The following is a 22,414-nucleotide window of genomic DNA, read 5'->3' as shown; positions in this document are numbered from 1 at the left end:
ATAGGCTGGGCACATTAGAAAGTTACAAATCATCGTCGTAGTACCTCTAGACCTGACTTTGCAGTATTGCTTTAAAAGTGATCTGGGCTGGGCACAGTGGCTTACACCTGTAATCCCAGCACTTTGGGAGGCTGAGGCGGGCAGAGCACTTGAGGTCAGGAGTTCAAGACCAGTCTGACCAACATGGTGAATCCCTGACTCTACTAAAAATACAAAAATTAGCTGGGCGTGGTGGTGGGTGTCTGTAACCCCAGCTACTTGGGAGGCTGAGACAGGAGAATTGTTTGAACCCGGGAGGCAGAGGTTGTAGTGAGCCGAGATTGCACCACTGCACTCCTGGGTGACAGAGTGAGACTCCATCTCCAAAAAAAAAGAAAAGAAAGAAAAGAAAAAAATGATCTGACTTCAGCAATGACCCTGTTTTCTATTACTAAGTTCTAGTGGGATTTTATGATTACAAAAGATAATACACATTCAGTGTAGAACATGTGGACCATATAGAAAGAAAGAAATCTGACCACACCATTTCTAGATAAGCAGTTAGCCATTTGATTATTGTCTTCCAATGTGTGTATCTACAGAACAAAATTGGGTTCACACGCTATATACTGCTTTGTATTTGTTTTATTTTTTATAGTTTCAGCTGTATATGACTGTACACTCAATTTCAGAAATAATGAAAATCCAACACTGCTGGGAGTCCTAAACGGAAAGAAATACCATGCAGATTTGTATGTTAGGTAAGTCGAACTGTTTCCTTTCCAGAAAAGACAGTGCCCATTTCAAAGTAAACACATCACAAATGACCTAGAGACTTTCTTCCAGGGATCCCTGGGTCACACTGACTTCTTTGCAGTCTGTTTTGCATTGAATTTGACACATCCTACTATTGGAATGATCTGCTGAAGTCTCCTTCCGTCCCAGCTCCTTCCGGATCCTCTGTAACCAGCTTTTTCGTATCAAAGAGCTTAGGTTGAACAAATGGAAGGCTGTATTTTATAATTATTTTGGTGTTGGTGTGAAGAGAATATGTTATTGACCCTTTTCGTGGGCGATGGGTCTGCTGTATGGAATACACACAGATGTGTATTTATATAAGGCGGTCTAGACACAAATGCAGAACTCTTGCAGTGTCTCACTTATGTGTTATGTTCCAGGCTATTAATGATTTTATTGAAGACACTTCCAGAACATATTAGTCAAACTAGTTCTCTCTGCCTGCTTATAGAATGGGCTGAACACCTCCAGAATGTCACCAAAATCAGTGGGAAACAGAATTGGAAGGTGCTGCAGATAGTAAACACAATGGCAGTTCATGCATTAAAACCCAGTGTGACGGGTCAGGGACCGTATTGGTTTGTTGTGCTGTGGATCATCTTCTCTGAATGCTAATCAAGAGAATCTGAAATGCCCACTAATGGAGAACTAATCCAGGGGCGTATAACCTTCTGATTCAAGACCTTACAGAAGCCACATTACAACACAGCACCCTGAAAATCCAGGGGCCCTACATTCCCACCAGGCCACACCAAACGTCCAGGCTTTCCTGGGAGATATTTTGGTGGACTGGCGGCCAAAGTTAAGTAGCTTCTGATCTAAAAATGACTCTGGCTTTCCCATGAAAATAGGACAGCATCGTCATCATCACTGACTTCTTGTCTGATGGTGCAGGCAACAGTCTGCCCTGTGACTCAGTTCTGTGGCATATGAAGGCAGGAGAATCACCCACCTGCCCGAAGGAGACCTTTAGACCTTCTCCTAGGAGTAAAGTGAGGTTTTATTCCCCATGTTCTCTGACAGCTGGCAGGAGCTCCACTCAATGGCCAGCTGGGCTCAGTTATTTGGGAAAACCCCAAGATGTGTACAAGATTATTTCACCTCTCAGGTAGCTGCAACTCTCCAAAGCATGTGTGACAATCAGCCCAAAAATGGTACTGGCACGTTCACTCACCGAAGCCAGATCACCCTCTTGACCCCAGAGGAAGGTTAGCATTGATGCTATTCAACACACATCTTTTTGTTGTAGCTGCCCATTAAAAATGATTGAGGCATGTTTCTGAACACACATCAGTACAAAGCACTGAAACATCAAGGGCGATAATGTCAAGTTGCTGAAAAGGGCAAAACTCACTACATTCCTACTCTCCAAATAAAGAAATATTAGGCAGACTTGAGAGATCTCATTTCCAAAGCAGAGTAGATCAAACAGCAAAGAAGTAGAGGATCCAGAGAAGTGCAGTGTGCGTAGGAACAGAAAAGGTGAAAGAATATTTCCGGAGGAGCTTATGGGGTAAGTTCTAATTATGTGAAAAACTTACCTCTGTACAATACTGCCTTGAAAAGGAAGTGGCTCATTGTAATCTGTTATAAGATGGAATCCCATCCTTTATCTCTTAACAGACTCTAGTGTGATAGATAAACTCTCAAATCTTCTTACTAAGATATTCTTAGGCCATAGAAGGGAGTGAAGTGACCTGAGAAATCAAGCCAGATGCAGACTTTGACATGGACAAAATTGAGTATAAATGAACGTCCCTTGAAATCACAAGAGCCATCAACCTGAGAACAAATAGGAAGGGCAAAGGTGGCAGAGTGACTTCTCCCTGTGTTCAGTATGGGCTCTTTGCAAATGATCGAGTGGCAAGCCCTTGCCAGCACCAGTCCCCAGAGCCACCCAAGTCTCTGAGCTCTCGCTGGTGCACAGTGACTCAAGACCCCTGTCTGAGCCATGGAGCCTGGGGAAGATGCCCTGGCTACTTCCATCTGGGAGAACTTTAATTCCCCACCATCCACATCACTGACTTGTCAAAACCTTTGCAGAAAGTCTGCCTCAAGGCTAACCAAGAGGCCAGAGGAATCATTTGATGGGAGATAATCTGCCATTACCAGTAAGTTGGTTACTTGGCTAAGAAGAAATTACTAGGTTATTGTCTCTGATGCATCGATTCTGTGTATATTGGATTGTCTCGTGTGGAAACTGAGGCAGTGTTGTCCTCTTTGGAAGAGGCAAATATCAGGTTTTGGGGGCCTTTTTGTGAGGTGGGAGGGAAGACGGAATGAGGCAGGTGTCCCCTGTTCTCACAGCATCTGTCTGTGCCATTGAATTGGCCCCTGGGTTGTTCCTTCGTGGGTCATAATTGCATTTTTGCCTGTTTCTCCAGTGTGGATGTGGAACGCCCCTTCTTTCTATCACTTGCATTACTCTCTTCAGTTCCACATTATTTAGGTGACCCAGATAAAAACAAAAAACGGCAGCACCGTTACTGGAAACTGTATGTTGTAGGGGGGCATCACCTCCTCTCTGCTAGCTGCTCTCTGCCTTTGCAGGAGGATCCCACTGGAAGACATCCCTGAAGACGATGACGAGTGCTCGGCCTGGCTGCACAAGCTCTACCAGGAGAAGGTCAGTGCACTGGGTGCCAGGGGTCCCTTCACGTTGCAGCTGTGGGTGCGCCGTGTGGCTGTGTTGTGTGGTAGCAGGCCTTTCTCCGGTGGGCGAGATCTCACAGAGCCAGTTATTAGTGAGTCTGGAGCTGACCCTCTCTTGGCAATGAAGAACATGACAAAATATTTTTTAAGGAGGGTTCACACACACACAATGAAGCTATTCTCTAGGTGTAGTGGACCAAGGGAGAAGTAATGGCCCCAATCGCCCCTGCTCGTATTTTCCTGCCTCTGGTCCTAAGGCAGGATGTGCTTGTGGGGTGGATGTTCTCCGCAGCAATGGACATGGTCTTGATTGCTTCTGGATCAACAATTTGGTTGTCAATCTGATCTCAAAGCATCTCCAGAATAAGCAGGATAAAGCCCTACAAGGATCCACCTTGGTCTTGGCTGGGTTCGAACCTGCTGTGGTGCCCCCTGTCCTGTTCCTGTCTGTGGTCCAGTTCTCCAGGGTCCCCCTACTTGTTCTGTCCTTTCTCTGAGCAAGGCCTTTGCTTTCATTGGTTTCTCTCCTCCAAAGGCATATGCAAGGAAGGGAGTCTCATAACTACTGGATCTTATGAAGGAGCGAAGCTTAGCTTCCCCTTGGTGAGAAAAGCATTTTTATGGCCAGGTCTCATTAACCAGTAAAAAATTATTTCTGATTCACCATATGTTTTAAACCCAAACAAGTCATTCCCTAGAATCAGATATATTCTATAGGATTCTGATGACCTTTTCCTCAAACTCCATAAATGCGGGCTGGCTCTCATGGGTTCTGTTTTTCTCTGTTTCTCAAAGGAGAGAATTACCCAGAGCTTTGCAGGATGTCCTCTGCAGCTGAATAAGAACTTTAACCCTACCTACACTTGGGAATGTGTTAGGATTTTAGTCCACAAGACTCTTAACAGACTCTAGTATGATGGATAAGCTAAATTTGCCTCCTTTAGACAAATTTCAGTCCAAAAGACTTGCCATCACCTTTAGCAGAGAAGCTCTTGTAAGTTTGCTCAGTTTTTGGAATCAAGATCCTGATACCTTTTTTCCCTGATGATGCCTTTATACCATCACTGCACAGAGCTGGCATGTGGGCCTCTTTCCTATGTAGGTTATGGGCATTGCTCTCTGGTATCCCCTTACAAATACACAAATTACAAATTGTATGTATGGACTCATTTACCTTGTCATTAGAGCATGAGTTGTGCAGATTCCCAGGCCCGAACCCCAGTGATTCTGTCTCTGCAGGTTAGAGGTAGAACCTAGAAATGTGTACTTCCAGCAAACTGCTTCTGATGCAGATGGCTTTGATGGAGATGGTCTGAGGCCTGAAGCTTTTTAACAACAAGATTCTAAGTTATCGAGGTTCTGCACCGATGCACATATGTGCCCCGACAGAGAAACAGAAAACCATATGAATTTCCCCCTTCTGTTTTCATGCATGAGGCAGTATTTTTCTTGCTCTGTTTTCTGGTCTAAGCATTGAGGCAGCATATAAAATGTTACTTTTTTTATTTTTTTTTTTTGAGACTGAGTTTCACTCTGTCTCCCAGGCTGGAGTGCAGTGGCGCGATCTCGGCTCACTGCAAGCTCTGCCTCCTGGGTTCACGCCATTCTCCTGCCTCAGCCTCCCAAATATCTGGGACTACAGGCACCCGCCACCATGCCCGGCTAATTTTTTTGTATGTTTAGTAGAGACGGGGTTTCACCGTGTTTGCCAGGATGGTCTCGATCTCACAAGGTCTTGTGATCTGCCCTCCTCGGCCTCCCAAAGTGCTGGGATTACAGGCGTGAGCCACCGTGCCCAGCCGAAAATGTTACTTTTAGCCGAAAGCAGAGTATGCTAAGAAAAGGTTTAGAAAATGAGCCTCTTTTGTAAAGAGCCACACAAACAAATCTACAATAAACGTGGGCCCTCAAGCCCATCAAGGCAAAGGAGATTTTTCTCAACGGGCCCTTCCTCCCCTGTATTCAGGCAGAGTGTGGTCATCGTGTAAACCAAGCTGAGAGGCACATCTCCTTCTTGTTAAAAGTCTCTTAGGGTGTTTTCCTCTAAACTATGTTCACATTTAAATGATAGTGTTCAACTTGGTAGGGTTCTCAAAGTGATCATCTACTCCAAAGCTCTTACACTACTGATGAGGAAATTCAGGTCCGAAAGATGAAGTGATTTACCCAGTTTTCCAGCTCACTGATCAAAGCCAGGTGCTGGAGTCCAGGCCCTTTCTCTCTCCGTGCAGGGCTGGGGCGACACCGAGTTCTCTAAGCAGTATGTGTCTGTGAGCAGGCCTGGGAGGCTGGCCCTTTGCCCTTCCGAGAAGATCGCTGAGCAGCAAGTGGAAGTGGTGCATGGTTTCTCCAAGCAGAGTGGTGAATAGACATCAAGGGACAATTCCTTTCTGTATCAGCCTATTTTGCTAGGAGCCTAGATCTAAAGCTTTACGTGCCCCAAATCTGGGTGCCCGACCCAGTTTGTCAAAGTGGGATTTCATTTTAATGATCAACCTTGCAGTCAGAAGTGTGGTGTATGTCAAAAGACAGTTCTGTTGATTTTGACCTTGGGATTTTAGGGCAGTAGTTCTCTGACTTTTCAATTTCATGGACAAGTAAAGTTTCTGCAAAATGGGAGGGGAATGGCAGGCAGCCAACAGAGGTGTGCCAACATTCTGGTCTTTCCAAGCATGGACATAAATAAAGAGAAACTCGCCATCTACCACTGACACAGTTATACTCTTTAATATGGGAAAGGCACCATCTCTGAAAACAGGGCCATCCTTTGAGTGGACCTAGTTTAGCTTTATGAAAAATGCACAGTATTTCTTGCTCGTCAGCATTTGGGACTCGTGTTGTTGGAAGGCTTTGAGAAACCATTCATGCCCTTGTGTGATCTTCTGTGGACAAAAGCAGTTCCCAGGTAAACTCGCTCTGAGGCTGAACCTACAACCTCAGAACCCCCTTTTTTCCAGGGAGGTCACGATAGCCATCACGGTTTCTTAATTGTATGGGGTGAACAGATTCTAACTTTTCATTTCTAACTTAAAGTACTTCTTCAGGTTGTAATTTGACATTTGCAGAAGGGACTATAACTTGGCCATTAATAGTGCAAATTAAGAAATAGGTGAGGCTGGGCACAGTGGCTCATGCCAGTAATCCCTTTGGGAGTAAGCACTTTGGGAGGCTGAGGCTGGAGGATCACTTGAGGCCAGGGGTTTGAGACCAGTCTGGGCAACATAATGGGAACCCGTCTCTACAAAAAAATTTTACAAACTAGCTGCACCTAGCGGTACACACCTGTAGTCCCAGCTACTGGGGAAGCTGAAGTGGGAGGATTGCTTGAGCCTAGAAGTTGAAGGTTACTGTGAGCTATGATTGCACCACTGCACTCCAGCCTGGGCAGCAGAGCAAGACCCTGTCTCTAAAGAGAAATAAGTGAAGGACAGCTACATTCAGAGCCGTCCTGTGGAGGCCAAGGTCGGGAGCAGCTCTGGGTGGGGTGCAGAGTTCAGGGTGCAGGCATGGTGGCCCGTGGGAAACACTGTGCTCTCCTGCTCTGGCCTTCAAGGACAAGAACCATTTTGGGGACTGGCAATTGTTTTTTCACTTAAACCATAAGGGCATTGCTCCTTAGAAGGGCAGCAGGGAGCCTCAAGGCTTGGCTCCCATGGTAAGTCCTTTGCAAGTCCTGGCCGTGCACTCGGGTGGTGTCTGCGGGCTGAGACCAAGGCTTGCGAGCGCTTCTCACAGAGCCTCTCCCCGCCCAGACTTGCTGACTAAGAGGAGCCGCTTCTTCCTCTCTGTTCCTCAACTTTCTCTTCTATTCTTCGTTCTTTCCTGTTCTTCCTCCCGTTCTTTTCTCCCTTCTTTCTTCTCCTGGGCCCTGGGAAAGCTGAGCGGACGTGCTGTGTGGACGTCTCCTTCGCACGCTTCCTCCCTAGTGCCTTTGTTGCGGGCTGCAGGGGGCGTTCGTCCGGGGATCTGCCGCCTCTCAATAGGATCTCGTTCTCCTCTTGGCTTGTAGGTTGATGCTTCTTTCTGGAAACAAACCAACTCTCCTTCATTCAATAACTACATTTCCCAGTTCCAACTTTATACTATGCCACACGGTAACACACAAAAACAAAAAACACGAGTCCTTTCCCTGCGGGGCAAATTTTATTACAAAACGGGTCCACAACCAAGATGGGCCACGGACATTCTGCTGCCAGAGCCTGGAGTCTGGCCAGAGCTGGCGGTGCTGTTCTCTCCCCGATAGTCAGTGGGAGGTCCTGTGGCAATGTCATGGGCCATAAGTGAGGGGAGGGGATGAGATTTAGTGTTTTAAACCACAGACAAAGAAAACTTTAAAGTGAATGGGGCTGGGCGCAATGGCTCACGCCTGTAATCCCAACACTTTGGGAGGCTGAGGCAGGAGGATCACCTGAGGTCAGGAGTTCAATACCAGCCTGGCCAACATGGTAAAACCCTATCTCTACAAAAATTAGCTGGGCATGATGGCAGGTGCCTGTAATCCCAGGTACTCAGGAGGCTGAGGTGGGAAAATTGCTTGAACCCGGGAGGCGGAGGTTGCAGTGAGAGGAGATCGTGCCATTGCACTCCAGCCTGTGCGACAGAGTGAGACTCTGTCTCAAAAAATAAAATAAAGTGAATGGGAAGTTCTGAGTTGGGAAGCTCCTAGAAAAGGGAGTGCTTTTTTCTTCTTGCTAGAGGTGCAAATAAAACAATCTTGGCCTAGCAAATGTCTTTCTGGAAACAAGACAGAAAAGGCACCATGGTGAGTTCCCCTTTGTGATATTACTGTAAAAAAGCACTATAAAGACTGTTAAGGAAAATAAATTCAAAAGCCACATTTGCCCATTTTTTAAAATGGGTGAGTTCTATGGCATGTAAGTGACATCTTAAGAAAGCTGTTTTTTTTTTAAAAAAAAACAAGGCACAAAAATATCACCCCCCTTGTCTAGTTATCAGGTGCCCTGTGGCCCCAACCTGGGATAAGAAAATCACCCCGTTCTGGTGGGCAGGCGAATGCCGCTGCTTCCCTGGCAGAGTTGGGTGCCACCTCTCTGGGCATTGCCTGTGCTGCTGACCGTCATGGTGCTCACCTCCTTGTCTCCTCCACCATCTGATCGCTCTCACTGCTTGAGGGTAGGAGTGCTTGGCACACACGTTGATTGTTCTTCAGTTGCTTGATGATGTGACTTCCCCTGAGAGCCCCCATGGCTTCTCTTGGCTGATGTCCAACAGCAGAGTCACGCGACAAGTGACGCTTCGGACCAGGCTTGTTAATGGGCTGCAGGGGGCCGAGGACAGAGCAGAGGCACCTGAACTGCCCAGGGAAGGGGTTGGGGGTTCTCCTTCCAAAATGGCCTAGTGTGTGGACTATTATTAAAAGTGCCTCTGAGAGGCCAAGAAAGCCTATGATTCAGTACACCCTGAATGAAAAAGAAGAAAAGTATGAGATACTTTAGACTTTTCTATCTCAAGTTGTTAAAGGAAAATATTCAGCATTTAAGTAGTATAAGTTTCAATTATAAGGAAGCTCATTTTCCAGAAAACTCGACTCCTTAGAGAACTGGGACATTACTAGGCTAGTTCATGGGACACAAACTGGGCCTCACTGTGACCCACACCCATTTTTGTGTGGCGTGCATGCTATCGGCCACGTGCAGCTTTTACAATAGCTGAGGCAGCTGCCCACCATACAACCTGGGCAATTCCCTGTGGCTGCCTGGTTCAGCTCTGCTCCCTGCAGGCAGCTTCTGCCCTGGCCCCTCCTCACGGCCAGGACCTGCCCTTAGACGGGCCAGCGGGCATCCTGGTGCCACAGCTCCTTGTTCCCCCCAGGTCCTGGCTCAGCTCAGCTCCCAGCCGCTTGAGCACGCCTGCTGACCTGGGTTCCTGGGTCCCTCCCTTGTGTTCAGCAGCTCCTTGCGGCTGAGCCCCAGTCCCTGAGCGGGAGCTCCGTGACATGAGACACCCAGGGAAGAGCCACCGCGTTCTTTCGCAGTGCATTTATGTGGGGCCGTGAGTCCCCTGTTCTCACCCAGGGACTGCAAGGAGCGCCATGAGGCTCTGGAGTAACTGCCCTGCAAGCTGCTCGGTGACACACACACCCTGTGGGTGGATGTGGATGAGTACATGGTTCCCACTAAGGATCTGCTTAGTGGAAGGACATGAGCCTGTTTGTTTACCTTTCACACGGTCTAACAATCACTTAGAAGAGTCACCCTGGACACCCAGTCCTGAGTGTGCTGTCACCTCTGAGAGCCACACCCAGCAGCCCTCCAGCCCTTTGTCATTCATGATGCCTTGAATCACGGCCCTCAGAGCCCTCCAGTGGCAAACAGGGTGGTAGGTGCGGGTGGGCTGCCCGAGGTGAACTGGCTGTGGAGGCCGGGAAGGCGGGGCATGTGCCGGGCCGGGCTGGGCGAGCTCCTCCTGACTGCGGGCCAGGTCTCCACCGAGTGTCCCCTGCGGGCAGCTTCGGCGCAGCATCCACTCCATTCTCCCGCCGACCTATCGTGGAAGGCACTGCTGCCCCATTAGACAGACTGGGGCCTGGGCTCAGGGATGCAGGTGCCTGCCCACAGAGGGTGGATCCTAGCCCAGGCTGGCCTGGCGCCAGGGTTCATGCTCCACGCCCTGCACTCAGTGACAGCTGCAGCGGCCCCACCACTCCCAGTGTCCCTGTGGGAGGGGCGGCCAGATGCAGCTTTGAGAAGACAGCAGCTGCCTACAAAGTGCTTTCTGGAAGGAGCTGCAGACCCCAGTTCTGCCGAGCCCCGGTGGCACCTGTGTATCTCTGCGATTCCCTTGGAAGCAGGGCCTCGGGAGGGACCTGCCACCGAGCCCCGTGTGGCGTCTGAGGGTCCTCTTTCCTGTCCCCCAGGATGCCTTTCAGGAGGAGTACTACAGGACGGGCACCTTCCCAGAGACGCCCATGGTGCCCCCCCGGCGGCCCTGGACCCTCGTGAACTGGCTGTTTTGGGCCTCGCTGGTGCTCTACCCTTTCTTCCAGTTCCTGGTCAGCATGATCAGGAGCGGGTCTTCCCTGACGCTGGCCAGCTTCATCCTCGTCTTCTTTGTGGGTGAGTGGAGGGCAAGGGGCTGGTGGGTGCTGACAGCACCACCCTGGGAGAGGTGGCATCAGGGCTGGGACGAAGGCCATCTGTATAGGCAGTTGTGCCGTGGATGAGGAGCAGGCTCAGCTTGCAATCACAGGGAAAGATTAGACTTCAGGATGAGTGCGAGGCCCTCGAATACCAGGCCTGGGACCCCCTCCGCAGCCTGGACGGTCCAGCCTCCCACCTGGGGCTGGATTCCACACGTTCCCTGTTGGGTGGTGATGCAGCTGCCACTTCACTCCCCGACAGCTGGGAGTGCTCCCTCCCTGTCCTCCGCAGACAGCTCTGCTCATTGGCATCATTTCCTGCTTCTGAAGAAAGCCCTGTGCTGGAGCCTGGCGGGGACGGATGGGCAGCTCCCTGCCTTCCTCTGGGGGCGCCTGTGGCTTCTCCTTTGCTGCAGGTGGATGACACTGAGTGGAGACACTCGGCGACAGAGCTTTTCATGGGTCTGCGCTGGCTCCAGGTGACCGGTATTCTCGGGCTACTGCTGCTTCTTGGTGGCAAGCCCCTGTGCACCCTGCTCCTTGCCTCTGGCGGGGCAGCCTGTCGTGCCTGCTTCCTGCCCTGTGAACAGCAGGTCCGTGCTTCCTGGAGCCAAGGAAGACTTTGGGGTTTCCCTGTGAAAGGCCCTGTCTCCCCAAGCCTGGCGTCCTCTGAGGCTTTGGAGAGCCCGGGAGAGACGGCACATTGTCCAAGCACACAGAGATCACGTGCTTCTTCCAAATGGACAGGACTCAGTTATTTTCTGTCAAACACAAAGATGCAGTATGCTCACTATAAAAGGCCCAAGCAATAGACAAGCGCAGAAAATGGAAAGTGTGTCAGGAGACCATTCCCATTGAGCCCACTTCCCAGATAATCGTTAATGACAATTTGATGCACGTGGTGGTTCCAGTCTCAAGCATATGTGCATCTATAAACCCGTATCAGTGGAGTTTCTTCAGCTCGCCTTTTCACCTAATGAATCATAACCACCAAAACAGGTCACAGCACATAAACCTAGCTCATTCATTCTGACTGAGCCAACCAATGCTGCAGCATATGGGTGCAGTAGACAAGCTGGCTCCTGTTCCTCAAATAGACCCTACTATACAGTCTTTTGAAAGATTAAGATGTATTTTAGTGTTAAAAATTAAAATATTAAAACAACACCCACACCGTGTAAGGGAAAAAAATAAGAGGTTGGAGAAGAAAGCACCTCATCTCCTTAAGGCAGGTCCAGGGGCACCCCCATGCCCCGCCATGCTGAGGCTGGCCAAGGGTCCGGGGCAGCTGCAGGTGCCAGGGCCCCTGGTAGGGCGGGGGCAAGCTCAACCCTTCTGCTTCAATAGCAGGCAACAGCAAGGCACACACACACCCACGCCGTCTTGGAGAGGGGCCCCTTCAGGATGAAGGCTGCAGACAGGGCCACCCAGCTGTGTAGCGAGTACCAAAAAAAGAAGCCTGAGCACTGCCCAGGGTGCAGTGTGGACACAGGGCGTCTCCAGGAGCATCTGAGGGGTGCAGTATGGACACAGGGAGTCTTCAGGAGCATCTGAGGGGTGCAGTGTGGACACAGGGAGTCTTCAGGAGCATCTGAGGGGTGCAGTGTGGACACAGGGAGTCTTCAGGAGCATCTGAGGGGTGCAGTGTGGACACGGCGTCTCCAGGAGCATCTGAGGAGCTGACTGCCGTGCCCCATTACTCTGAGCCTGCGCCTGACTGCATTCTTCCCTGAAGGACTTTGTGTTTGTGTTCTTTACTCCTCTTCCAAGGCCACACGGTCCACGTTTTACTCACTTCTTTCTGCTCTACAATAACTCCACTCTCACTGTTACTGTTACGCTCCATGCAGGAGCCCTCCAGTTTGTAAATGACCCATGGGAGATGCGTGCCTCCTGCTGGCTGGGCTGGATTCGCCCATCCCAGGCTCTTGCATCCATGTCCCAGTTAGTTTATCGACCGCGATGCTAATGCTAGATAATCCTGTGCATCATGATTTGGGGGATTTCATTCACTTATTCGTCTATCCATTCTTAAGCATGTATTATAAATGGACTGTTTTCCAAGCCCCATGCCCAGTGCTGAGCACATCAAATGATTAAGTCTTGGGCCCTGCACCCAAGGACCTCACCACATCTGCCCGCTCCAGAGGGTGTAGTTGAAATTGCAACTTCTGAGCATTAGGCCCTGCTTTCCAGCTTCCTATATTAAACTGGGCTCCCACGAGGGTCCTGCCCATTCTCTGGTGTAGGCAAATCCTGCCGTCAGAGGAGAGGGCGGGGATTTTCTCACTGCTCTAACGCTTGCACCAAAAGCAGTGCTGAAACGTGTTGGGCACTCGATACTCGAGCTCTTGCGTCTTCCAGGCTCCTGGTCTGTTCTTTATAAAACTTCGCTGAACATGCCCTGTTAACTTCCTGTCCCTTATTCACAAAAGAATCCTCTTTACCTGGGGGTCAGCAGAGGAAGCCAGGGATTTCTCTGAGTCCCTGCGAACGGCTGTGCATGGCTTGCCAAATCATTCACCTTCAGGGTCCAAGGAGGAAAACCCCCACCAGAGCAGCCTTGCTTTGTCTTAATGTCACATGGATGTCCACACTCAAGGATGATTGTAAAGCCGGCAGGATGATGGCACCTCAAACCCGCCAGCCAGCTCTGAGCTGGCGCTTGTGATTTGCGGCCACGGGCCTTCTCACTTGCTCTGTGGGAAAACGGCCCTGTAGTCTGTTTGGGCTACTCCTAACTCTGCTCTCCTTGTCTCTGCAGCCTCCGTGGGAGTTCGATGGATGATTGGTGTGACGGAAATTGACAAGGGCTCTGCCTACGGCAACTCTGACAGCAAGCAGAAACTGAATGACTGACTCAGGGAGGTGTCACCATCCGAAGGGAACCTTGGGGAACTGGTGGCCTCTGCATATCCTCCTTAGTGGGACACGGTGACAAAGGCTGGGTGAGCCCCTGCTGGGCACGGCGGAAGTCACGACCTCTCCAGCCAGGGAGTCTGGTCTCAAGGCCGGATGGGGAGGAAGATGTTTTGTAATCTTTTTTTCCCCATGTGCTTTAGTGGGCTTTGGTTTTCTTTTTGTGCGAGTGTGTGTGAGAATGGCTGTGTGGTGAGTGTGAACTTTGTTCTGTGATCATAGAAAGGGTATTTTAGGCTGCAGGGGAGGGCAGGGCTGGGGACCGAAGGGGACAAGTTCCCCTTTCATCCTTTGGTGCTGAGTTTTCTGTAACCCTTGGTTGCCAGAGATAAAGTGAAAAGTGCTTTAGGTGAGATGACTAAATTATGCCTCCAAGAAAAAAAAATTAAAGTGCTTTTCTGGGTCATCTGTGGTGTATGTTGACATGGACCGCTGCCCCTCCATCCTGCCCTTGCCCGTGGCTTTGGTGTTTCAGATCCTACTCACGGGAGGCAGCTGCCGCGGAGGTGTGGGCAGCTGAGAGGGGTGGGCAGGCCAGCACAGCTCCTGGCAGGAGACACAGGTCCAGGAGCCCGTGAGCATTTGTGAGAGCAGAGATGGCAAGCACGTGCGTGGAGACCAACGAAGCGTGTCCCTGGCACACAGCAAGGGAGAGTTTCGCTCGGTCTCTGCAGTGCAGTCTCCTGGCGTAAGTCTTGAAGATGGACCCAACTCCCTGAAGAAATGGATCTTGAAATTGAACACAAACATCATGAACGTACAGCCTGGGCATTCTGCAGTGATTTGTGAGATGAGCTTGCATCGACTGTTCCTCTCAGCAGTGACAGCCAAAGTCACCCCTGATAAAATGCAGTTTCACTTTATAAAATGCCTCGCCCCTTCCCAGCATGTAGAGCTTGTCTGCAGCCCTAAAGGAGCCAGGTCCTGCTCTGATGAGGGTCAAATCAGAGCCGACATCCCATGTACAAAAAACCCCCAGGCTTCTGCCTTCCTTCCGGGCTCCTGTCTGCTCCCATTTTACTCCACGGAATAGTTCTGCCCTGTAGCATCTCCAGCGGCCTTTGCAGACTGCTGTCAGCCAACAGGTGCCAAAAATGCAAAAGAAGAAGAAACTAAAAGCAGTGCTATTTTTGCAGAACAAATGCTAGCTATTAAATCATCTTAGGCCAAGACACCAATGGCACTTGGACCGATAGGTATTTGGAGCATGAGTTAGGAAGGATATGTCTTTCTCCAGGTGCGCAGCTGAAAGTTGCTGAGAAAAGCTGCCTGTGTTGCTGTGGTAACATGAGAAGGAATGAACAGCTCTATACAAAAACTGGCCACACATTATAAGGCCTATTCTATGCAGTTATGTTTTTGGCTATTTGCTCATTTAGTCATTGTTTATCAACCAAACTAGGTAAGCCAAGGAGTTACAAGACAGCTCTAGAGAAGCTCCCTCTGCTTACAGGACAATAATGCATTGTTTGTTTGTTGATACAAATGAATTATTTGAATCCACAGAAGTGAAAAAGGGAAAAAATCCTGGCTGACTTGTGGGAAGAGCGTACTGCAGAGCCTAGGGCCTGAGTTAACTCGCTGGCGGCCCTGCAGGCAGGCTTGATGGGAGCGCCCAGCACATCTGCCCACCCTGCACAGGGCATGAAGCACCGTGTGCAGAGATCTGTGGGCAAAAGCCCAGGACGTGACCTTAGGCAAGAGGGGTCCTTGGAGAAGTGGAGGTGTGCATGGTGTGTAGCCTTGCGTGTCTGTGAGCACGCCCTAGTGGACCTGCGCCTGGATTATCGGGCCAGTCTCTCGGAGGGGTCCGTGATGCTGAGTTACGCCATTCACCTGAACTCTGCAGCTCATCGGCTGTAGGATTTGGGTGAGACACTTTTCCTTGCTGACTCATTTCCCCATCTGCAAAATGGGGGTGACGATATCTACCTCTTGGGGTGTGTCAAGGGTAAAAGAGCACACTTTAAGAATCCTAAAGCACTAAGCCAAGGATGAAAGACTAGAAAGCTGCCTCTATGTTGCTACTCTCAAAAATGCTCAGAAATTTTCTTGTCGTACTAAAAATGTGTTATTTTTCTCATTTTCATTCTTCCATTCAACACAGAAGTAATCTAAGTAAGTTCTAAAAACATAGATCCGGGGGCCCACAGACATTCAATTTTCTTCTGAATTGGCTCTGGTATCACACAACACACAAGCAAGCAAACAGCCTGCCTGCTAGGGCCTTGGGTTCCAGGCTGGAGGAATGCAGGCAGAAATCTCTTAGGAAATAACTAAGTGAGCGCCAAGTTTTGAATTGCCTTAGAGCCGAAAGAGAATGTGGCGTGCTGGGGAGAGATCTGGACCTCTTTCTCATCAGTCATTTGACCTGTCCACGAAGAACAATTTTGTTATGCAGCCTGGGAACCTGGTTTCCTTACACCCTGCGCCCTTAATGACACAGACAACCACGGGTACTCCTGGACGGAAGCTCATCACGCCTCCTCAAATACCTTCACCCATGTTCAGGTCACACGGAGGTCACCATCTCCTCAGCACACAACAACTGCTTTGGTTCCCAGGGTTATTTTTTCTACGAGTTGAAAACCCACGGAGCCTAAGCCATCTTTTTGTCCCCTAAGGAGAGCCCCATAGACTAAGAGCTACACTTCCTGTCTGTCTTTCCCACCTTTCCATCTCATTCTAGCTTAAAGCTTATCACGCTACTGAGAGCCTGTTCTGTAGTTCAAGGTGGCAGAGAAAAATACGAACCTTGAGTGAAATCTGGAGAGCAGTGCAGGGTCATCCCCAGACGTGACGGGCCATATCCTAGGCGACTCCTGCAGCTTATAGAAGCAGGGAATTTAATGGACTTCTTCCAGGAAAGCCAGCCCACGGGGACTCTTAAAAAGACACCAACCATTTGGAAGATGCAGCTTGAGGTCTGGGGGACTGGACTGATTCTGCCACCATATAGTGAACACGATTAATCGGGAGGAAGAAGTAAGGCACTCTGTGAGTTAGTCTACCACCCTATTGACTTTGACAGAGAGAAAACCAACTTTTTTCATATGATCACACAGTAGTACTGGAATATCTCGACTGCAATATCCTCTAAACAAATGCATGCAAAGCTTTGTAAAAGCAGCTGATGATTAAAAAAATTTTAAAACATTAGGGTTTTTCTAATATATCCATATGTGGGACAGTGATTTAAATGTCATTAATTGTCCAGCCACAACTTGTAACAGTGATGTGAAAGACACAAAAAAGGCCCCACTGGAGTGGAGGAGTGGTCTGGCTGGTCCCCAAGCAAAACAGAATGGGCTTCGCATAGGCTTTAGAACTTATTCATAAATATTGACCAAAGTGTGAAGCAAGGTATCCAGTGAAGATTCTCTAGGGTCTCTACTTCTGCTCAAGAGATTTAATCCAGCTTTCTCTAAAGCAGTGGTCCAGACTTGCCACATACTAGGTTAAAGATAAAGTGAGAAAAACAAATACTTTGGTTTGCACGTCTCTTGAGGGGCCCTAGGCTGTATGGAGGAATATTTAGAGGAATATTTGTGAGCTGCCATTTGTGTTTAAAAGAACATGAAAGCAAGACGGGCCCTAACCCGCCTGTGTCTGTAGCTGACCAGGAGGCCACTGCTTCCTTCCCCCAGAGCTTCTAGGAGAGCCCCCCAAAATGCAACTCTCCAAGGTCCTGTGGAGTAGTCCCCTCATAATGCCTCCACCACACCTGTGTCTCACGATGCCTTAACTGACGTAGCTCCTAAGTGATGTTCACAGAGAAGGAAATACTTAGGCAAGCCCATGTGTAACATGCTCACAGATGTGCTGGCTTTGCCAATGCTTTCGGACTCCACCATGCTTTCTGATTCTTCTGGTCCTAGTCACGCCTTGGCACGGGGCAGAAGCGGCCGAGCTATGCTGACAGGTGCTGCTGAGAGCCAACAGCCATTCAGCCGAGAAGGCGTTTCTAGGTGAGGGCATGAGAGCTGGCATTCCAGGCTGCTGAGTGCGGCATCTGCAGGTGCACCACATTGCTCCACGGTGTGTTCAGAAGAGACCAGCATCTTGAATCTCAGGCTCTGGGCTCATTCTTTGCCTCTGCCAAGGGACCATTCAGGGGCTTCAAGCCAGCTGCTGAAAATCCCCCTTTTCTGGATTTTTCCCCATCTATATAAGGATATGGTGGCTGTGTGGACAAGAAATTGGTTTCATCTCAGAAGGGTGCTTCCCTACAAAGATCTTCAGAAATTTAATTGAAAACAATTTTTTGAACTTTTTTTGTTTGGCCAGGATGAATGAAGCTGAAGTCACATCCTGAATGTGCATGCCAGACAAAGGGTAAGCAAGCAGTCTTTACAAATGCCAATCCCTCTGCACTCCAAAACCGGAGCCCGTAATGAAGGCCCAGGTTCCAGTCATCACAGGATCCCCCAAGCCAGCACAGTGCCTGATGCCTCCCTAGGCATTAGCACATCCCAGCACTCTAATTCACATCCTCAGCATCCCTGCCTCCTGCATCCAGGGCTTAGGTTGAGTGTTTCCAGAGTGTCAAGTACATTTAAACACAAACCAAATACTCCAGGGTTTTGACCTGTCACAATGGCTTTTGAAAACAACAGACGTACAATTTGAGAGAAGGACTCGATGGACTTCTTAGGCTGAGGACTAAGGACATGTTGCTGTTCCTCTTGGTCCAGGACATTCAATACCATTCACAGCATTCATCACCAACTGACATAGTATCGATCACGACATTCAACTGTTTGAAATTACTGCTATTTTGGTCAAAAACTAAGAAATCAGAAATTGCACCTACATAGTGTGTCTCCTCATTGGAGTCCCATCTCTCTGAGCACAGGGATGGGCTCCTGAGCTCACAGCCCTGCCCTGCCCCCCCAGCAGGGCCTCACCCTCATGGCCCTCAGTGAATAGTGACTACATGAAGGGGGCACTTACTAGAGGCCTGAGTAATGGAATTTCAATTAGCTTCTGCTTCCCTTTTCTAAAAAAGAACCACCTTTCTTAAGAATAATTAGGCCAAAATAAACTTGAGTAATTTGTACAGTCAATATTTTGAAGTTTCGGAGTTACCAGTGAAATAGCAAAGCTGTTCTCCAGGAAAGGACATCCAGGTTCCCACCCAGGCCTTCCTTCCTCAGCTCCTGCAGCCTCATCCTAGTTTAATATGAAGGTTGTGAATGGGTTAAAAAGCAGTTCTTAAGCACCTACTTAGATCTTTTCAGTATCTGGAAATAGCACCCAGGGCTGTGTTAGTAAAGCTTTTCACTGGGTAAGAGTCATACAATTTTTACATTTAATTTGTTTTTTTAAAACAAGGCAGTCTTGTTTTACATATTGGAATGACTAGATATTTTTTGACATTTCTGGCACCTCTGGTTCTGCTGAATTTTAAGGGAGGTGAGTGGTATGTACACAAAGTTAAGATTGCTGCATAATAATTCCTTTGCATTTCCAAAATAAATTACACAAATGTCACTTTTCCTTTTCTATTCCATAGTACTAGTTTTAGCCAGATCTTTGCCAAACATTCTAGGACATTCAGAAAAGTCATCCATGGAATTTTGGAATGCCATTCTCTCTGTATCTTTGCAGATCATGAGGAAGGAAAGTTGATGAACTAGTACGGGATGGCTCAGACTTGTAAAGTGTCTAAGTCACAACGCTGCAGAGCCAGCTTCCGGGTAGCAATGGCATGGCCTCAGCTGTGCCAAGGCTACAACTGGAGCTTCCTTACTCGCATCTGAGGCAAACACAGCAAGGCTGGCCCAGGCCGCCCACAGTCAACAGATGTTCACGGGAGATGGATCAGCCCCTCTTTTGCTTGTTCTATCAAGGAAAGAGATCTAACCATGGGCAAGGGTGGAACACACCCGGTTCAGGTCAGGGAATGAGTTGCTCTAAGTGAACAGTGAATTCTTACTTCTCAGCCTGTATCAATTGTACCCAGGGTTCATGATTACTGTGACCCACTAAGGGATGATCTTTGAGGAAACAGACCTGGAGGGAGGTAATTTAAGGAGGGAAAGCGAGTGGGTTTTACAGACTGCTTTGTGGCGACATTCAGGAACAGACCATTCAATGGATGACTTTTCAGTACATAAAAGCAAGCAGTAATGGCCAGGAGAGAGCAAAGATGCCCTAAGAATGACATCAGACTGACCAAATGTGCCTTTTCAAATAAGTTATGAGAACGAATGAATTGGAATTAGAGCAAGGTATTGGACAGAACCATGCTAGTCTTTGAGAGAACGTGTGGATTGGGTGGATGTTTGGACCGAATGAATGGTAACTTTTTAATGTGAAACAGAGAACTGATATATGGGCTGTCATGTCACCCTAGGGTACTGTCGCTCTGTCATGTGTAGCAATCTTTCCAAATTTTTGTTGGTGGGCTGAACAAAGATAAAACTAATAAAGTATGTGTGGATACCACTAGACAGCACAGCTTACTGGACTGGATGTAATAAAACTGACTGAAACTTTAACTTGGAAAAATGCACGTCTCTACACTGCCTCACCCAGTATCTGCAAGGAAAGTGGAATGGTCCTGCAGTGGACCCCTGCTACCTCCCTTGCCTGGTCTGGGCCATTCTAGCCCTTTGCCCCACTGCCCCGCCTCTTCCAGCTTTACCATGATGCCATGCTCTCCCCGCCCCTCTCCCCAGGCTTCATTCTCTTTCTCCCTCCTTATGACTGCATTCCTCAGAGCCTTTGCCTGAACTTCCCTCTCTAGGCCAATTCCCCATCATCTCTTACCAGGATGAGAGAAAACGCTGGGGGTGGGGCCAGGGTGGGGACATGTCTCACATTTAACTACCTATGCAAGATCTGTCTGTCTCCCTGATTATGGACTATATACTCCATGAGGGCAGGGATGTCTGTTTTGTTGCATGAAGATTAGTGTAAATCCACGGCACAGAATGCAGCGCTCTTGCTACTGTCAGAACACCTACAGCAACCGTCGGTTCTGACACTCTCTAAAAACGTATCGACAAACTGAAGCGAGGCCTGGGAAAGCCAAGACAGTTTTAGAAAACTATTAACTTGGGAAGCAGAGATGAATGACTTACAGTGAGGGGAGACAGCGATATTCAAATACGTACAGGAATAGTCAAGTATAGACAGCATGAACAAGCAGTATGATGAGGCTGATTTCAGCCCAAAACAAAAAAATATTTTACAGTAATTAACTCTGAAGTGGAAGCAGAGGCAATGGAGGAAGACTGTGAGTAAAGGATAAAATGCAATAGAAACAGTATATCCTGGAGTTGTGTGACAAAGCAACCCCGTCAACTTTGAGGAGGACAGATGACATGAAAATGAAGGTGGTTAGAAAACCACTGAAGTTGCACATGTGTCTGCGGTAAGTCACTCTGCAACAGGAATGATTCCAACAGACTAGGAACAAAGCACCTAACGATACATGAAAAGAACTGTGCTCCTACGGCTGACAATAGCTGTCTCAAGAAGAGAAAAAGCGACTTGACAAAATGCTAGAACACTAGAGCAGGTTACCAGAGGACTCGCCCCAGAGTGGAAAGCCTGTGACCCTTCTGTTAATTCAGGGGAGGCTGGGAATTTGCGAGGCTGTTAGGTTACAGGGATGGATGACGTGACAGACATTTCAAGCAGCGCACGTCATGGGAATTTCCATCACAGTGTTAAATCTGTGACTCGCCATGACCTCAGACACCACACTAACAAGTGACCTGCTTCATCACATGGCCAATAACAAACCGATCCCTTCTGGGAAAATACACTGATCTTTTAACAGGAAAAAAAAGAGCAAGCTTCAAAGGACAGACTCATACTCCCATAGGTGGAAATGCAGTCTTCAACAGCAAGCTGAAACTCTTCTTGGCCATTTTGGATTTTTGTAAAAGCTTTTAAAACCTAAACAGAGTCTGTAAACATAAAGGAATGTCCACGGATCTTCATGGCTGCTGTGCCCTGGGAGATGACACCTCATTTCCCGTGTCACCACACAACATGCCTTTGAAAGCCCTGCTTTAGAGCTGCCTTCAGTATCCTGTATAAGCCCAGGAAACCAGTCTTGTTATCTCAGCCACCACACCTGAGCAGAGTGTAGTCCACCTTTTTACTGCAGTATAGAAAACAAGGTAGCATTATACATCCAGCTCCCAGAGGGGATTGCTTCTGAAAGAGGATACTCTTGTATATAAACTCTGCTAGACTAAGAAGAATGCACTGTTTCTTAATTTTGTTTAGTGTTCTAGAGCAGGGGTTGGCTGATTCTGGCTGCAGCCCCACCTGGCCTGCAGCTTGCTTTGGAAATAAAGTTTTGCTGGGCACAGCCACATCTATTCACCTGCACATGATCTATGGCTGCTTTCGTGCCCAACAGCAGAGCTGAGGTGTTGTGACCAAGACTGTATGGACCACAAGACCAAAATATTCACTCTCTGGCCCTCTCCTGGAAAGGGCCGCCAACCCTGTGCTAAGGAATATAATCCCAGCAGACTGAGGCTGATATGTAGAAGGGAAAAAAAAGCTACTCCTTGATTTTATATTATTACTTTTTTTTTCTTATTGAGACACCACCTTTAGAATGTGTTTGAGATATAAGCTCTATTTACAAACTATTTTTAAAAATGCTCTGGAAGATTATTTTTACCATCATTTTTGTCTTGACCACAGTCTGTCTCAAGAAACTTTTAAAAAGATGAGTAAATTAAACCCAAAGTATACAGAAGGAAAGAATAAAGATTAGTATGGAAAAAAAATGGAAACCAGCAAAACAAGAGAGAGTATTAATGAAATCAGAATTTGATTCTTTGAAAAGGCCAACAAAATTGATTATTAGCCAAGAAAGCAAGCACAAAAGCAGACATCACTACCAGCCTTAGAAAAATTATAAGTATTATTAGGGAATACCATGAACAATTGTATGTCAACAAATTAGACAACTCAGCTAAAATGGACAAATTC

General features: G+C 48.2%; 1 protein-coding gene and 1 long non-coding RNA gene across 2 annotated transcripts in view, besides 2 other annotated features; one reads left to right on the top strand and one right to left on the bottom strand.

Annotated features, from left to right (window-relative positions):
* AGPAT4 (1-acylglycerol-3-phosphate O-acyltransferase 4) overlaps positions 1-19,960 on the top strand; it is a 144,095-nt gene extending 124,135 nt beyond the window's left edge. Inside the window, exons 6-9 of the mRNA NM_020133.3 lie at positions 638-740; positions 3,328-3,403; positions 10,307-10,505; positions 13,293-19,960. Of these exons, the coding sequence (NP_064518.1) occupies positions 638-740; positions 3,328-3,403; positions 10,307-10,505; positions 13,293-13,387 (473 nt within the window). The 3' untranslated portion in view covers positions 13,388-19,960. The remainder of the gene's footprint in view (positions 1-637; positions 741-3,327; positions 3,404-10,306; positions 10,506-13,292) is intronic.
* Positions 607-10,311, bottom strand: LOC124901455 (uncharacterized). The gene is made up of 2 exons (XR_007059860.1): positions 9,461-10,311; positions 607-8,849 (listed from the first exon to the last, which is right to left on the bottom strand). It is a non-coding gene; the product is annotated as an uncharacterized LOC124901455 (long non-coding RNA).
* Positions 17,756-18,050: a silencer, noted in NCBI's record as "tiled region #15502; K562 Repressive non-DNase unmatched - State 17:Gen3'". NCBI's record gives its function as "represses a minimal TATA promoter and a strong SV40 promoter by Sharpr-MPRA in K562 cells {active_cell/tissue: K562}" and the evidence as "EXISTENCE:reporter gene assay evidence [ECO:0000049][PMID:27701403]".
* Positions 20,499-21,698: an enhancer, noted in NCBI's record as "BRD4-independent group 4 enhancer chr6:161549261-161550460 (GRCh37/hg19 assembly coordinates)". NCBI's record gives its function as "activates an origin of replication core promoter dependent on BRD2, P300/CBP, MED14 and CDK7 cofactors, and independent of BRD4, by STARR-seq in HCT116 cells {active_cell/tissue: HCT116}" and the evidence as "EXISTENCE:reporter gene assay evidence [ECO:0000049][PMID:35650434]".

This window comes from Homo sapiens, chromosome 6 (assembly GCF_000001405.40).
Source record: "Homo sapiens chromosome 6, GRCh38.p14 Primary Assembly".
In the NCBI taxonomy this organism is placed as follows: domain Eukaryota; kingdom Metazoa; phylum Chordata; class Mammalia; order Primates; family Hominidae; genus Homo; species Homo sapiens.
Note: the sequence above shows the minus strand (reverse complement) of the source record. Positions and strands in the feature narration are given on the sequence as shown.